The 17,384-nt window shown below is 40.6% G+C and overlaps 1 protein-coding gene across 3 annotated transcripts in view; it reads left to right on the top strand.

The window, feature by feature from the left end:
- The window catches only part of RORA (RAR related orphan receptor A), a 741,019-nt gene that overhangs the window by 548,936 nt on the left and 174,699 nt on the right, over positions 1-17,384 (top strand). For 2 of the 3 annotated variants that reach the window (NM_134261.3, XM_011521875.3), the window contains exon 2: positions 1,681-1,710. In NM_134261.3, the coding sequence (NP_599023.1) occupies positions 1,681-1,710 (30 nt within the window). Of the gene's footprint in view, positions 1-1,680; positions 3,217-17,384 lie in introns of all 3 variants that reach the window. The other variant, XM_047432928.1, reaches the window with a different exon arrangement.

The raw sequence follows: 17,384 nt of genomic DNA, 5'->3' as shown, positions 1-17,384 counted from the left end.
GATGTCAAGAGAAAATAGTTCCACACTCAGCGAATATAGATAGGTCGTTTTGGGCTGTATTAAATCCAATTGTGTGGAGGTTTTGAATAATCAGGAGAGACAGCCTAAGCACTTTCTCTTCAAAGTGATTTTACAGAAAGCACTATTTCCTAAGGAAAATACACATATATCTCTCATAATGCTGAAAGTGCACTAATGTATCAATTTATTGGTGCTGGTGTCATGAGCTGGAGTTGCAAATTGTATTCAGATTTTAAACTTTACTCCCTGCTGCTGCTGGGGGAAGTTCCCTTCCCACGATAAAGGTTATTTCAAAAAATTCTAGAACACTTTTGTAGTTTTCATGTGAGACAGTCTTCAAGGATTTTTTTAGAAGGTTCTAACTTCACTTTGTGAAGCCAACTCAAACATGATTTAAAACAAACAAACAAACAAACAAACAAACAAAACAATAGTTTTCCTCAATAAAAGTTGCGGGGTCGGGGAGAAGAATTTGAGTTGGGCTATGTAATTTCAACTTCCCTAAATAAGTCCTTTGGAAAGTGTTGGGGGGAGCAAGTGTGTGATTTTGGTCTTGGCTCACAACTTCGGAACCAACTTTTTAAAAAATGTCTGCCGTGGATTTTCACAACAGATTTCTTCCCCGTACGACATGTTCCCTAGCTAAGTAATAGGTCTGATGTGGCTGCCAAATTTTTCAACAACTTTTACTTTCCAAAGGAGGGTTAAATAGTTCCCTTAATAACTTGAAAGAAAAAAAAATTTCAAGGTTTACCACAGTTCTTAGTCACAGGCTAAATGTTTTCAACAGTTTTATGACTTTGAGCCTACTTAGTCTCAAGAACGTCTCCCAAGAAGAATGCAGCATAAAGGATTCAAAATGTAGTAATTCTGAAATGGAGATAGTGTTGTTTGCATCAAAGCATACATTTATGCTATCTTTATCAGGACTTCTGTGCCAAATGTTGCTTAGTTCTATTTGTCACCTGCTACCTATAAATCATCCTGAAATATCAAGGGTGCTGACTCATGAATCGCTCGTGTTTTCGTAGTTTGTGTTCATACATTTCATTCAGTTGTGTTTCAACTGTATGAAACATTTGGGGGCCATTTTTAGAGAAGTAGCAGTGATTCCCTTTCTGACCTTAATGAGTACAGACACATAGGTACATTTGGTGGATGTATTTCCCCCTCACCATTAAAAGTTGTGCTTCATGGGAGGAGGAAGGGTCGTTTTCATTAAAGAGTAAACACAGAACCAATGGCCATAGCAAATTAATTGCCGTGTTGCTCATCTTACCCTGGTCTGAGTAGGCTGGCATTGCTCTCTTGTGCCTTACATCTTTCCCACTCTGCCTATAAACATGATTGTCTCCCCTACTTAAAATAAAAAATAAGAGTCTCCTCGCGTCCTGTTTAACCCTGTTTAGTTATTGTCCATGCTCCCCACTTTTACCACAGAACCTCTTAAACCAGGAGGTGATGGTCGCTGCCTCATCAGTCACGGTTGCATGCCTTTGGGGTAGGTCTAGTGACACTCCTGTGCAATGTTAAAACTGGTCTTGCTTCCACTTCCCCATCTGAACTAAACGCCTTCCTGAGCACACTGGGAATGACGGACATTCAAAGCAGCACACACAGGGCACTTTCTAACCTATGTTATTGTTTCTTCTCTTCCAGGTATCTCAGTAACGAAGAAGACACATACATGTAAGTAATGCATTTTTTTTCTGTCCAAAGTTTTCTGAAGAGTTGGAATTCGCATATGTCTGGCTGCTGTGACCCTTCAAGTATATACTAATGTTTCAGCTGTGATCCATGGTCAACAGAGGTCATTTTTTTTCAATCTGTAGTGGTCGGAAGTGGCACATCTCCACCTGTTTGTACTGAGTGTGTGTTGAAGAGAGAGGCTAGAGACATATTCTGATGAATTCCAGTGTTTCCAGCCATGAAGCTTTAGAAAAATCATGAAATCTAGCCAGGAGGATCAATTACTTACTGATCACCCTTATCCTAGATCCTTCTTAGAAGAGCTGGTATGTTTCTAGGAAACATCACCTTGATTTCTTTTAAGCTTTGGTCTCCTTTTCCTCACCACTAGTTCACAAATTAGGCCGTTTCGTACTCATGTCTGTGGAGCAGAGATGCTGACTGGGAATAGAGGCGCTGTCGCTCGACCACGGGCATGGCCTGCGAGGGCCCTGATAAATGGCATCGGTAGTTTGATGTGGAAACGTGTGCTGGATTTATGCTCTGTATTCATCCCACTTCTCAGGTTCAACTGCTTTCATCAATTGCCTTCATTTGAACTACACCATAAGTTACAAACTCACGTCAATGTAAGGTGTTGTGATTTGCAATCTGAGCAATGATGTTTGACTGTGCCTTGAACCTCAGGATGAAACAAGACATCATTGATGCAGGCAGTCAACTTTCACTGTAATTGACCAGCATATTATTTAGGCTTTGAATTAATGGTGTCATTAGAATTTGATGACTATTTTAGACCACGGATACGTGCTACCTATGAGATATGTTTGGGCATTCTTCTAAGGCAAGCAGTGGAGATATTTATGGCACAATACAGGGACAACAAGGATGTATCCCCCAATTTTTCCTAATTACACTTTAAATTTTTTTATTTCATGTGAAACGTTTGGGGGAAAACATCTGTATTACATCAAAGTAGTTTATCTTGTGCCTCAGTTGATTCTTGAAATCTGCTCTTGGGTTTGTCTGTCTGTCTATCTGTATTTGTAGAAAACAAAAATGAAAAAAAAAAAAAAGAAAAAACCAAAAAACGTCAAATTGGATGAGAAGTTGCCTGACTCTGAGGGCCCTGTCCTGCAGTCTCTCCACGTGGCTCTCTCATGGCCTTCAATGGAATGTTTGCTTGAGGAACAATGAAAAGGTCAGGCCCGTACTAGACACATGATCCGGATGGCACCTCCATCTCTCAATGCACAGTTCCAGTTGGCTGTCCCTCCATCAGGGTAGTCTGTGACCCTTAGCTTTTTGGGGGTTGTTTTGTCGTTGTTGTTGTTCTTGTTCTTGCTGTTGTCGGTGCATAATTGAGCTCATGATGACTGAGAGATTGACAGTGCAGGAGACTGAAGTCCTCTGTATATCCGCAGGGCAGGCATGGTACAGAGCGCTTCCTTGCACAGCCTTGCCCATGAGCTCGTCCCTGGCCCGGAGGGACCCACTCTAGAGGTGGTAAGTAATTCAGTCTTTCTGCTAGCTCAGTCCTGGGCCTCTCCCCAACAGGGGCTGATGATTGTGCCTACTGTTTATGGTGGTTTGGGGTATGGACTCCTGGCCACCTGGCAATGTACAGAAAGCTACTGACTGTTTGCATTATGACTTGGCTCTTAGATAAGTGAACAAAACCACTACTTCAGCTCCACTGGACATGAAGAGTACATCCCAACTAATAAGATAACATAGACAGAAATCTAGATGTTACCTAGTATACAGACAGTCCATATAAAGAGAGACATTCGAGGAACTGTCATCCCTGAGAATAATTTTCTTGGGCTATTGCAGAAACAATAACCTGTGGTTGAGTTTAAATTCATGGAGGGACTTAGATGACAGCATGAGAGTGGTGGCTAGAGAGGAAAAATTGGTGTTCTAAAAACAGACACTTGAACCAGGTGGGTCTTTCCACAAAGGCTTAAAGAATTTCATCAGCTATACTGGCTTTAATGCAAAATCAAGATATAGCCACACAGGGTGGACTTTGAGTGCCTTTCTAACTGTGAAAATCAGCAAGAAAATTCTTAGGCATTAAGCTTGAAGTCAATGTAGAAAGACTTAAAGCTCCTTTTATATAATGGACAGAAAGATTTGGATCAGAAATGATATTGTTTTGGTTGATGTTTACTTTCATGATTGGGGGAGAGGGCCCAGAATAAAAAATGGCCGAATGACAAAATTGGAAAGAATAGCACCTGAAAACACAGTTGACACAAAACTTTACATATGCCAAGGAGAAATTGAATTGTCCAAGTTACATGTTAGTGGAAGTCCTCCATGCCACTTGAACATGGAGATTGTTTTTGTCACCCAGCTCAGCAGACAGCCCATCGTATTTCTGATCTTAGCATCTCCACAGGGCCCACAGCTTGTGAGGAGAAAGACAATCAGTCAGTTTTTTCTCTAATAACAGTCACCCAAATTACTTCTTCTTTAGCATTTGTTGGATTTTTCTTGAAAACTGAACTGTCCTAACTTGCCTATACGTTTTTTTTTAAGATGTTAAATTCCAGCTCCTCTTAAATCATCTTGACATCTGTTCTTCAAAAAGTTTCACTATCAGTGAAGTGTATGAATTCATTTTTGTACCGTCTCAAAACTTCCATTTTTAGCCAGGGTTCTGGAAACCTTAGTCAAGACTTGACTACATAATCATCGACAGCTGAAGTCACCCGACATTAGCAATTTCAATCTTGGTTTCCTAACTGCCCTCACGGAGAGATTGTTCAACTTACAAATTAATATGTACAGCTGCAGAATATATTATCAGACCAGAGTGTCAGCTCACAGGTACACAAGACAGAGGTGCACATACTGCAAAATGAGCCTGAATAGTTGTGACACCAGATAGTATTTTAGTCCACCTTGTTATCTGGAAAGCACAGGTATTGTTTCTTTTAAAAAAAATAAATGTTTTGGGTGACTTGAGGCAGAAATTCCCATGAAGGGAAATTTGACTGTTAAGCTTCAGAGGAGCCCATGGACATAGTCTTTGGAGAACTCAGTTTCTCCTAAGCTTCTGAGAAGGGTACCTTAAGTGTTTGTTTTCTGTTTAGTTGGCCAGTGGGAGAAGACAAGCTTTGGAATTTCTAGTGTTTCTCGTGCCCAAATTGTTCAAGGAATTCTTATATTTGTGATGTTCTTCAATTGTTGATAGGAAATGTTGCTGTTGGTTTTTGGTGTGCAAACATAAAAGAGAGTTTTTAATATTAGATCAATTTTACACTGTGGTGTGGAATTGCAATTTAATTTTCCTGGGGATTATATAGCACATGTATTTGGTTGGACCCCTTCAAGATTGCTTTGCTTTGGTGTTTCACAAGTTTGTTCTGGTCTCTTTCCTGCTGAAATAGCCACCATGCAGATAAGTATCATTTTCGGAATCAGCTGCTGTGTTGGTTTTTATTATTTGCCAAGGACAACGAGTCATTCACTCCTGAATTCTTAGTCTAATTCTTCTTGGATAGTTCTGCATTTGCTACAACGTTACAAGAGGATAAATATGGAGGTGAAAAGATGCAACAAATCATCCTAGCTCTTTCCAGCTACTGGAAAGTTTAGCATCATGGAGTCCTAACCTCAGAGGACATATATCAGACAGCCACCACAACACAGACCCAAAAGATATCTGGTAGGCCCCTGAACCGTTTCCAGAGGCATCAGACCATTGCTGCTTCCTTCTGTTCTCATCCTTGTTTACAGTCCTTGTACCTCTTGTCCTAGCCTGCCCTGCCTGCTTTCTCCCACACTGAGGGACAGATACAGGCTTCTGAAAGGTGCAGGTTACTCAGTGGAAGCAGTCAGGAAAATGTGTCAGTTTACTCCCAACTTGAGTTGTTAATTTTCCCCAATAAAAACCCAAACAAGATACGCCTCTGAATCTTCGGAAATATTTTCAGTTAACGTGAATAGCCATTAAAAGGTAATCTAGTACATTTTCAAATGTTTGATTGTAGCAGGCTAATACCTACAATATAAAATTAAAGCACTGTGTTATTTATAAAAAGATTTAGTTCTCAATAGTAAAATATTTTAGCACAAATCAAAATATTTCTTTGAGAACTAATCTTTTGCATCCATTTTAAAAAGTGTTTATTGCAATCATTTAAAATGGAATAGGTTAATGTATTCACTTTTCACCCCAGAGACTTGGCTTTGAATTTGACTTAGAGAAAATTAGTTTTGAGGCCTCAACCTCCTCTCCATAGGCATTCATTGATATCACAAAATGAACCCAACAAGTTGTCACAATTGTTGCCATTTACTCAGGAGATCCAAAAACTAGAATAACCTTATTTTCTCATTTTTTTTCCTATCCTTGAGGCCATACTTTTTTATTGTAGACTCTTAGCAACCCCAAACTTGGGGCTCACCCACATTGTTTTCACAGTCCAGGAAAACTCAGGAACCATTCTTGGCAAAGCTAATGGAAGGTGCTTTGGTGATATAGTTAGTAGGTTTCCGTGGCAACCCATGTGACTCACAGTGACTCACGGCAGTTATAATTTCTGTTGCTGGCAGGGTGTTCCATTAGGACAGATGTGAGAAGAAGCCACGCTGAAGTTCTTTTAGTAGGCCTTCATCCAGATCCTGTCTGCCCATTGACAAATAGTCAGGAAAAGGGATAACCTAGTACTCACAAAGTAACTGGAAGATTCATTGCTTAGCTTACCAAGGCTACCAGCTATCTCAGACAGCAAGCTTGTTGGCAGTGGGTCATGACTAAAATACAGGTGCTGGCCTCTTAAGGGCTAATTAAGGGACAACTATTCATTGAGGACCTACTCTGCGCTGATAGGCTTTTTACCTTCCAGGCGTTTACAGACTAGTTGTAAGTAAAGACTAGAGGGAGACAAGATAGGGGATAGGGTGGGATAGAAGTGCATAATCACATAAAACAATCTGAAAACACAAATGCCAGGTGTACCAGTTCCATAAGTCGCTCATAACTGGAAAACAAACTAAGCTGGAAGTATGGGAGAGGAAAAGAAAACTAGAGAAAACATCGAGGATTCTCATATTGTGATCCAAGCATAAAATAGCAATAAAGCAAAAGGCAAAAATTTAACCCTGGGTGCTAAAACCTATCCCCGCTGCTCATCTCCACCCATTCTTACAGAGTAACATCTATTTAGTTTCTTCAAATCAGCCAGTCTGAGAAAGTAAAAATCCCTCTGTACTGTCTGGAAGCGTTTGCCTTGTTTAGAGTCAGCCTGCTCAGCTACAGCCAAGCCCTCCTAAGCTTAACAGGATTTCTCTGTCTCATCATATTAAAAATAAATGGATTGCACTTGGCCCTGCCAGTCAGTTCTTCCAAAGTAGAAGATTTGCATAGTCTTAAAGCCCACAGTTCATGGCGAGGACCTGTGAACTCCATAGAAAAACTGAATAGTTACCTGAGCATTTCCATCCCAACATCCAGTTGATTCAAGTTTGCCCAGTTAGTAGACTTGAGGTTCATGAATTGCATTTGGACAAAAAGTATTTGTATTCCCACTTCATAACATACGTTCCAAAGGGTGTGTTGAGATGGTGATTGGCTCTTTAAAATCCATAATCACTACCAGGGAGAAAACAAACATGCCTAGCCTACGAGGGATTGGTGTGGACTTGATAGACTTATTACATACTTGATAAATGCTTAGTTAGACATGATTAGATTGATTTTTTAAAAAGCGCTAGATGTCTATGACATAAGTTTGCAATATGCTTAGTTTCATATTGACAGTAATAATGGCAGAAGTAATAGCAGTAGTACCATTACTTGTAGTAGCAGCAGCAGCAATAGCAGGAACACCACCTACCAAGCAATCTGAATATTCGAAGCATTGTGTTTAATGCTTTACGTGCATTATTTCATTTAATCTGCTCATCAGCTTTAGGAGCTTTGTACTGCTTGCACCCGCATTTTAAATAAGAAAATGTACATGAGAGACAAGTAGCTTAGAGAAGTGAAAAACCTCGTTAGCTCACCCAGCTGGGCAAAGCCTGGAGTCAAAACAGAGTAGATTGCCCCCTTGTGCACACATAAGAGCCACACCGTTATCTCCAGTATCAACATTAACTAATACTTGTGGGGCACTGAGTGCTAGGCACTTCTCTAAGCACTTTCTAAGTGTTCATTTATTTATCTTTACTGCAACTTTGTGAGGTAGGTGTTGCTACTATCCCCACTTTACAGATGAAAACCGAGGTCCAGGGTCCTACAACTAGCTAGTATGTGGTGGAGCCAGGATGTAAAGGCAATCCCCAGTTTAAATGCTTTTAAAATGAAGAGCTTCATTTTTCAGAGTGGTTCTTCCACTCTAAAGTATAGGAAGAAAGCCAAGTGCAACATAGTCATTCTTACAATTGACCAAGGTTTCCTTTTACCTTACAACTATGCTACCTCCATAGGCTTCTAAGCTTGAAGAACAAACTGATTGTAAGAAAGGGGAATGTTATTCCCACTATGTGAAAAAAAGTATTTAAACAAAGTAGTCTACTGGAAACTGTACAGCGTTCTTACTTTATTATTTTTTTTAGAAGGGGACTCGCTCTGTTGGCCAAGCGGGAGTGTAGTGGCATGCGCGTGGCTCACTGCAGCCTCAACCTCTTGGTCTCAGGAGATCCTCCTGCCTCAGCTTCCCAAGTAGCTGGGACTTGCTCAGCTAATTTGTTTTTTATTTTTAGTTTTTTGTAGAGACAGGGTCTTGCTGGCTGGGCTTGGTGGCTCACCCCTGTAATCCCAGCACTTTGGGAGGCCGAGGCAGGCAGATCACCTGAGGTCAGGAGTTTGAGACCAGCCTGGCCAACATGGTGAAACTCCATCGCTACTAAAAATACAAAAATTAGTCAGGAGTGGTGGCACACGCCTGTAATCTCAGCTACTTGGGAGGCTGAGGCATGAGAATCACTTGAACCCGGGAGGCAGAGGTTGCAGTGAGCCGAGATCACGCCACTGCACTCCAGCCTGGGTGATGGAGTGAGAGTCTGTCTCAAAAAGAAAAAAAAGAGAGAGACAGAGTCTTGCTATGTTGCCCAGGCTGGTCTCTGAACTCTTTAGCTCAAGAGATCCTCCTGCCTCAGCCTCCCAAAGTGCTGGGATTACAGGCGTGAGCCACTGCGCCTAGCCAACCTTCTTACTTTAAATGACCATTACTTATCTTTTTAACAATTTAACTTAGTTCATCAAAGAACTGATGTCTACTTAATGTCATACAACACAACTGATTCCATAATAAAACAATTGTTCAAAGTGGTTACTTCTGCTTCTAGGACAGCTATGTACCCCACACCAGTAATGACATATATTTCGTACAGCACAAACCCATCTTCCTCTGAAACAAAGCCTTTAACGGACATTAATGACATTTATAATAAATTTATACTTTTTTGTTAGACCAACTTAGTAATTCATTTATAACTTTCATTGCCACAAAGCAGTACTATGATTCCGGACACAGTGGTTTCTTTGAAACCTATCCAAACCCAAAAAAACCCTGGAAGCTAACAGAACGCTCAGGAAACAGATATATATATATATATATATATATATATATCAATGGGATATATAGGAGATATAAGAAAATTAACATCTAGATTTTGAGGATGTTTAAGCATATCTGAACTTAGGACTGGATTTACACTTATATCAGCTTCTCTTTTTATTGCAATCTGTACGCAGAGGAATAAAAACGTAGAAGAAACAGAGATGCCAATGTGTTTAAAACAAGAAGAGAGTGATCACTCTACATTCACTTTCAGTGATGACACTAAATTTTTTACACTGATTTCTTTATCAATTCTGTGGCCAGGAAGTTAGTGCATTTGTAGTCACATGGCCCTTTGGATTATAATTGACATCCACATCTATACATTATAAGGATGAAGATTTTTAAGCTATTCAATTAAATATTTTCCTTTGACTGCCAAAATCCCTTGCAATGGAATGTTCTCCACCCAATCCACTTCCACTTCTGGGAAAACATGTTTTTCTATGTAGGAGTGATAGCTCTTTCCCTTCTTGATTTTGTATGTCTCCTAGGCATCAACTCCAGCTCCTACTGTCTTAAATAGTTAATAGCCAAGGATACTGATTAGAAGGCATATTGAGGAGTGGCCGGGCATGGTGGCTCACGCTTGTAATCCCAGCACTTTGGGAGGCCGAGACGGGCGGATCACTGAAGGTCAAGAGTTTGAGACTAGCCTGGCCAACATGGTGAAACCCCATCTTAACTAAAAATACAAAAAGTAGCTGAGTGTGGTACTGTGCACCTGTAATCCCAGCTACTAGGGAGGCTGAGGCAGGATAATCGCTTGAACCTGGGATGCCGAAGCGGCAGTAAGCTGAGATCACAGCACTGCACCCCAACCTGGGCAATGTAGTGGGACTCCATCTCAAAAAAAAAAAAAGAAAAAAAAAAAAGAGGTAGGATATACTAGATTAAGGTTTGGATTCAGTGGAAAGGCCTTAATCTATAAATCTTTTATTTTACATTTTCTTCTTAGAGGAAAGGGGAAGGAAATTATATGCTAGGCAATCCAGACACCTGTAATATCGGGGTCTGAGGAACAGAGGCTGGAAAGTAGACTGCAGTTCATACCTATGGAAAGATAGGGCAGGGAGCCAGGCAGATTTTCTTAGCTTGATATTTTTTAACCCCTGCTCTGTGCCTAACATTGTGTAAGGCACATTGCAGTATAGGTAATCTAACTTATATTCCTCCCTGTCTAATAGTTTAGTCTGTATCTAGGAGAAAGGACACACACATTTGAGGAACTTTCAGTAATGAAAGAATTGCAGGAAAATGCAGGGCTATGAAATTTTGCCATTTCAATGGCAAAAACCACAATTACTTTTGCACCAACCTAATAGAATATGTGTTTAAATGCTGTATGAGTTGGGAACATGTGTGGTGAGCTGAGCTTGCTCTGGAAGGGTAGCAAGAATTAGGTGTGATCAGGGATGATTGTGTAGATCGGTCTGACTGGAGTAGAGTATTAACAAGGAAAAGGGAGACCAGTAAGAACAGAGAGCAGGTTTTGGCTTTCTCTCATAACCAATGTGGAGCCACAGAATGTGTGTGAAAAAAAGCAGTGACCTATAAACAATGTTTTTCTGCCACAGTCATTTAGTTAGGGTTATGTGAATCAGATGTTCCCTGCTCCAGTCCCTTCTCTGAACCCAGGTGACATTTTTATCCTTAGTTAGAACTACTTCTGTGTGTGCTCCTGTGACCAACTACGTTAAAAAAACAAACAAACAAACAAACAAACAAACAAACAAAAAAACGCTTATTGGGAAGGAGAGATCTGGTCCGAAAAGAGAAGGCTCTTCTGATTATTAAAGAAAAAGGATGTTCACTTTTTCTCTAACTCCACGGTGTTAAGGTCTAATTGTAAGACCCGTTCTTGCCATTTCATTAAAATCAGAGGCATGGAATGTGCAGTGAAACTTGAAAAATACATAAGCACTTTGAATTTTGCGGCTAATGGTTCTCCTTGCTTTCTTTCATTCGAGCTGCTAATTGGCTGCAGGCTACTCTGCTACCCTGGGAGCCTCTGTCTTTCCAACCCTTTTAAACTCAGCTACAAATAGCTTTATAAAAATTTAAACCCCAAATTCCAAACCTTGCTCACTCCTTAGGTAGGCAAAGTCAACTGCAGTGACTATTACTTTTTCATCAGCACAAAGAATTATTTCCCTCATGTAGCTGGACAATTATGGTAAGAGGACAACTAAGCATCCTTTTCTCATTATGGATATTTCTTAATTTCCTTAGAATATGTTTCTGTCGTTTTACTTAAAGAATACCAAGGTCCTGATGAGGCATTTTCATTGGCTGCGTGTTCTTAGTCTCCAGTATAATGAATCATATTGAGTTAATTTATCTCTCTTTCTCTTACACCATGTCTTTTTGTGTCGACAAAACTGAAAATTCACTTTCCCTCACCAGGTTGGGGCGTCGGGATAATTGATTGTTACCAGTCTCTGCTGTTAGTAGACAGGATAACACCAGTGCCTCTAGAGAACAGGTGAAAACTAAACTCTGTCCCCCGAGGCCAATGAAATAGCTGTTTGGTCCCTTGTGTGAAACTTCCTAATAACTTAACTGGGCAGCCTCTGGGTCCCTGGAGGGTTTCTCCACAAGAGTATTCCCTCTCTTTGTTAAGATTGCTTATTAAAAATGATTTTATAATGAAGTTGCCTCAAATAGCAGCTCTTTTCCTGGTTGTCCTTGAAGCTGTGGTGAAGAACCTTAGAGACAACTGTCTAGGGTTTTCCTCCTTGTTAAAAAACTTCTCTCTTACCACTCTTGCTCTTGATTTTTAAGGAGACAAAATCTAACTGACACAAGTCCCTCTCCGGCTGATTATGTCGCTTCAAACATTGTGCAAGGCATTATTGGTAGTTCAACTTGTCATTCGGGCTCAGGAATCGAACTGATCTACGTGGAGTGAGGACAGTTAAGTCTGCAGTGGAAACAAGGCTGTAGGGCTTCCCCCTGAGAGCAGCAGCCAAGGAATGCTGCTGTCATGCTGTCACAAACTCTGCCCCTGACTCTATCAAAACAATGATTTCCAATTATTTCATCTCTTTGGTCCTAGATTTCTTCTATCTATAAACTAACCACTTTCCTGCCACAAGAGACTGTCATGAAGAGGAATTAAATTTAAAAAAAAAAAATAGAATCATACTCTTTGGGCTGGGTGCAGTGGCTCATGCCTGTAAACCCAGCACTTTGGGAGGCTGAGGCAGGTAGAGCACTTGAGCCACAGAGTTCAAAACCAGCCTGGGCACGTGGCAAAACCCCATCTCCACCAAAAAATAAAAAGAAAATTAGCTGGGTATGGGGGTGCATGCCTATAGTCCCAGCTACTCAGGATGCTGAGGTGGAAAGATTGCTTGAGCCCAGGAGTTTAAAGCTGCCGCAAGCTATGATCACACCACTGCACTCCAGCCTGGGTGACAGAGTGAGACCCTGTCTCAAAAACAAAAACAAAAAGAAACAAAAAACGAACTATACTCTCTGCTACCAATGGCCTGTATAAATTCAAAAACTTCTAATACATGTAGGCAATTAGGAGAAAAATCGGTTTTTTATTGTCCACACCATAACCTTAACTTCTCGGCTTGCAAGGGCTTAGATGTGGTGATGTATTTAACATAAAGAATGATAAAGCACCCGGCAGGGAGGCTCGCTGTCAGAAATATCTGCCTCCGATTTCGTTTCTCAGTGGCCAGGCATTCTCAACAAGCAACACAGGAAACAACAAACCATATAAAGTTGTTAGTGACAGATTCAGCTTGAAATATTTTTCTAACTTTAAGGCTTGTCAGGCAGTAAACCTGCAGAGCAGAGAACTCAAGGTGTGGCTTGGCACTTGTTTTGCTTTGCAGTGTGAATACAACAGAACACCAACAGTAAGAGGGACGATTGTGAATCTTTTAGGGAAGAGAGCCCAGTCTTGTCTAGTGGTACCAAGACTCACTGTGTGCTAAGAGTGTGATAAAAATCTGTCTTGGCTAAATTCTATTCTCTGAGATGAGGTATATTAGAAAACACCAGCCTTACATTCGGTAATTCCTGCTCCTGCACAATAAAAAAGAAAAGTAAGGAAAAAGAAAAACTGTGGCTTTCTCTAGAATTTGACTGTGGCCTTCTCTAGAATCTTCTGATTCTACCTCCTTAGAAACAAGGTGGAATCTTCTCATTCAACCTCCTGTAAGGTTTTCTGTCACCTGAGGAGTCTAAATTCTAAGTATGGCATTCGAGGCCTTTTACAATCTGGTCTTAATCTTTCCACTGCTCTTTTCAGGACTTCTCCCATGCAGGCAGTGTTTGCCATCCTCAGTGATCTGTTCCCAGGAGATTCCATGCATGGGCATACCTCGGTGCCTTTGTATCTGTAGTATCTTGTTTGTCCTGGAATGTCCTTCATCATCTTCTGCACCTATAAAGTCTTATTGCTCCATCAAAGGCCAACACAAGTAGCATCTGCCGTGCAAAGCCTTCTCCAATTCCACCTTGTTAATTGCTGCAGCCCCCACAGTACATTCTTAAGGTGACAGTATAAAATGTATTGCAGAATAGTTGCTGTTTATGTAGCTTTGTCCTACTAGATATTCTTTAATTTTTTTGGCCGGGTGTGGTGGCTCATGCCTGTAGTCCCAGCACTTTGGGAGGCTGAGGAGGGGGGATTGCTGAGTCCAGGAGTTCAAGAACAGCCTGGAAAACATAGGGAGACCAGGTATCTACAAAAAAAAAAAAAAAAAAAAGAAAGAAATTAAGTAGCTATGCATGCTGGCACACACCTATAGTTCCAGCTACTTGGGAGACTGAGCTGGGAGGATTGCTTGAGCCCAGGAAGTCAAGACTACAGTTAGCAGAGAGTGCACCACTGCACTCTAGACTAGACTACAGAGCAAGACCCTGTTTCAAAAAAAAAAAAAAAAAAATTATCTTTGTATCCCTTGGGCTTAACAGAGTGATCAGTATCTACTATGTGCTCAATTAATACCCGTAGATTTTAAATAAGTGTGTCTGTATGTGTGTGTATACATACACAATTTTATGACCACTCTTGTTGCTCATTTCAGTTTGGCCAAAAATAATGATATTTTCATTGTTAACAGCTATAAGAAAGAATAGGCTGGGTACAGTGGCTCACACCTGTAATCCTAGCACTTGGCGAGGCCAAGGCACACAGATCACTGGAGGTCAGGAGTTCGAGACCAGCCCGGCCAACATGGGGAAACCCCGTCTTTACTAAAAATACAAAAATTAGCCGGGCATGGTGACAGGCGCCTGTAATCTCAGCTACTAGGGAGGCTGAGGCACGAGAATTGCTTGAACCCGGGAGATGGAGGTTGCAGTGAGCTGAGATCACACCACTGCACAGCGAGACTCAGTCTCAAAAAAAAGAAAAGAAAGAAAGAATAGGTATTTATTACTTGAAATTATATTGTGAGATTTGCATTATAATAGTTTGGAAACTGATACTATAATTCAAAGGGCTGCTTGACATCTGGCAATTTACCATATGCATTTTGAGTCTCAGTATTAGGGCTAAATTTTAGGGCTGATAGCTTTAAAGTTTCTTTCTGCAGTTTGTAAGATTTAAGTCAGAATCTTATCGAGAGGTTTAAAAATACTTGCCTATCTTTCTAGATATGAAGAATGTGTTAATTTTCTGAGTGACCTCTTGAACACCATTTGTTTGCATTATCCATGTAAATCAGATGATCGAATCTATAGAGTAAAAGGTAAAGGGACCATTTTCAGTTACCATTGGCATCTACATTTATGCAAAGTAGGAAACTACCTACTAGAAAAGAGAATTGGCTGACCTTTCCAAGAATGAAGGGTGTATCCTATCAAGGGAAATATCCTGTATTTGTCCAGTCTAGAGAAGAAAAAGTAATCCTAAAATGTTTAACAGTTTCTGAAGTAGATGTCCTGATAATCCCAGATTACTTATTGAATTTTAAGGTAAATTCTGGAAAGAAATGACATTTATTTGTTCAAGGTCAGAACACGTGACTTGCTATGTTTGTCTGGTCTAGAATGTAAGTATGTTTCCTTAGTTTAGCAGGAACCAATAATTTCAAAACTATTGTCCACCTCATCAGTGGCTGCACACAACCACAGTTTCTGTGCTCTTTTCCTTGGAATTCTTTTAAAAATGTCCTTTAGCCTTCATATGCAGCTTCCTCCCTACTTTTGTTTGTAACTTTTTCTTGAGTCAAAACAAGAGGAGCAAAATTATCCCCTGCAGTATCAATTGCTTGAGTGGAAGCCTTGCTCATAAATGAGAGGATGAGATGTGACCCAATAAAAGAATCTATTTTAATTTTAATTTATTTCCTGGTGGCCTTTTATGCCTCCTTAGGCGATGACCTAACCAATTCTATCTTAACACTGATTTTCTTCTTCCAAGGTCAAAAAGCACTTTGGAATTATTGTAAAAAGAGAAAAAAATGTCCCTTGCCTGTAACGTAAAGTCCATCTCTTCTTAGGAAATTTAAATCTTACTTTCTCAGCTTCACAATAATTCTTTTCTCATGAGGCGTCTATTAGCAAGCTAAATGAGAACAGGATGAAGGAAGAAGATCTTTTAGGCTTCTGAAGTTGATTTTTTGATAGAAAGGCCATCTCTTATAGCCTCCTTCACCCATTTTCTTTCTCAGATGGGAGTCTTTAATAGCACAGTGAGAGGAGCTATCTTCATTTTGTGCTGCTCTTTCACACAGCCAAGTGCAATCAAAGTAGAAGCTGTCCTAGAAGGCCTATGGTTTTTGATGTTGGAAAAGGAAAAACTGTTACTATCACACACACATCCTCACCACCATCCTCCTCTCCTCCTGCTCCCACACCCCTCAAAAAAGAGTCCTGCCTGGTATCTCTAAATCAAAGAACTTTCCATGGCCTGATTTGTGGAAGTTACCTAATCCTGTGTATAATTGGGGTGATTTGAGAGACAGGAAGATGTTCTCATTTTCACTAGGGGAGCCACTCAGGGACAGTATCATTTAGGAGAATATGTTTTTATTGCCCTAAATTGCTTCACCTGAGATTCTGTTGATACGTTTCTCTTAGGTTAGATTTCTAATGAACAAAATGACCAATATGGGACTCATTCTCACAGATTTTCCTAGTGCTTTACCTACTCTTTAGTGGTCAGTGAGTTCTTCCTCGTTCTATCCCAGAGTCTTACTTACAAGAATTCTGGAGAGTTGGGTTAATTATGCCACTGAAATGTAGAAGAGCCAACTTCTCACATTCTGTGTGTGACCAATCATCTACATATCGTACATGATTCTTCTATTATTTTCAATAGCAAAGCCTCATTATAAAATTTCTCATATTGTGGCCAGGTGTGGTGGCTCATGTCTGTAATCCCAGCACTTTGGGAGGCTGAGGTGGGTGAATCACCTGAGGTCAGGAGGTCAAGATCAGCCTGACCAACATGGTGAAACCCCATCTCTACTAAAAACACAAAATTAGCCGGGTATGGTGGCGTATGCCTGTGATCCCAACTACTTGGGGGGCTGAGGCAAGATAATCACTCGAACCTGGGAGGCAGAGGTTGCAGTGAGCCAACATCGCGTCATTGCACTCCAGCCTGGGCAACAAGAGTGAAACTCCGTAACAGCAACAACAAAAAAAGTCTCATTTTGTACCATTACCATTAATTTAGCTCACCTTGCAATGCTAGAGTTTTTTAAAAACTTCTGGAACTAACCCTCTTGGCATAAAGGCTAAGTTGGGTCTATCTCACATTGAAGAAAGTGAAGTTCTACCATATTCTGATCTAAAATTCATCATTACGCCCAGCTAATCACTCCACTAAAGTATCCTTAAATAAACGAAGGTATCTTAGATTGAATTCCCCAGAGAATAGATGCTCAGATTCTGAAATTGTCATACAGAAAGTTTATGGGAGTGTGCTTATAGGGACAATGCCTATAGAGAGTGAGGGAAGCTGGACTGGGCAGAAGGAAAACTTGAACAGTTGCAATATAGGCTTCAGCAGATGCCACAGGGAGATCAGAGTGGGGGTGGCCCTTCAGTGATGTACCAAATTGAAGCAAGGGGGCTGCATCTTTTACTCTGCATCAGGCAGCCATTGGGTGCCAGCTG

The sequence above is a fragment of the Homo sapiens genome, chromosome 15 (genome assembly GCF_000001405.40).
Source record: "Homo sapiens chromosome 15, GRCh38.p14 Primary Assembly".
In the NCBI taxonomy this organism is placed as follows: domain Eukaryota; kingdom Metazoa; phylum Chordata; class Mammalia; order Primates; family Hominidae; genus Homo; species Homo sapiens.
Note: the sequence above shows the minus strand (reverse complement) of the source record. Positions and strands in the feature narration are given on the sequence as shown.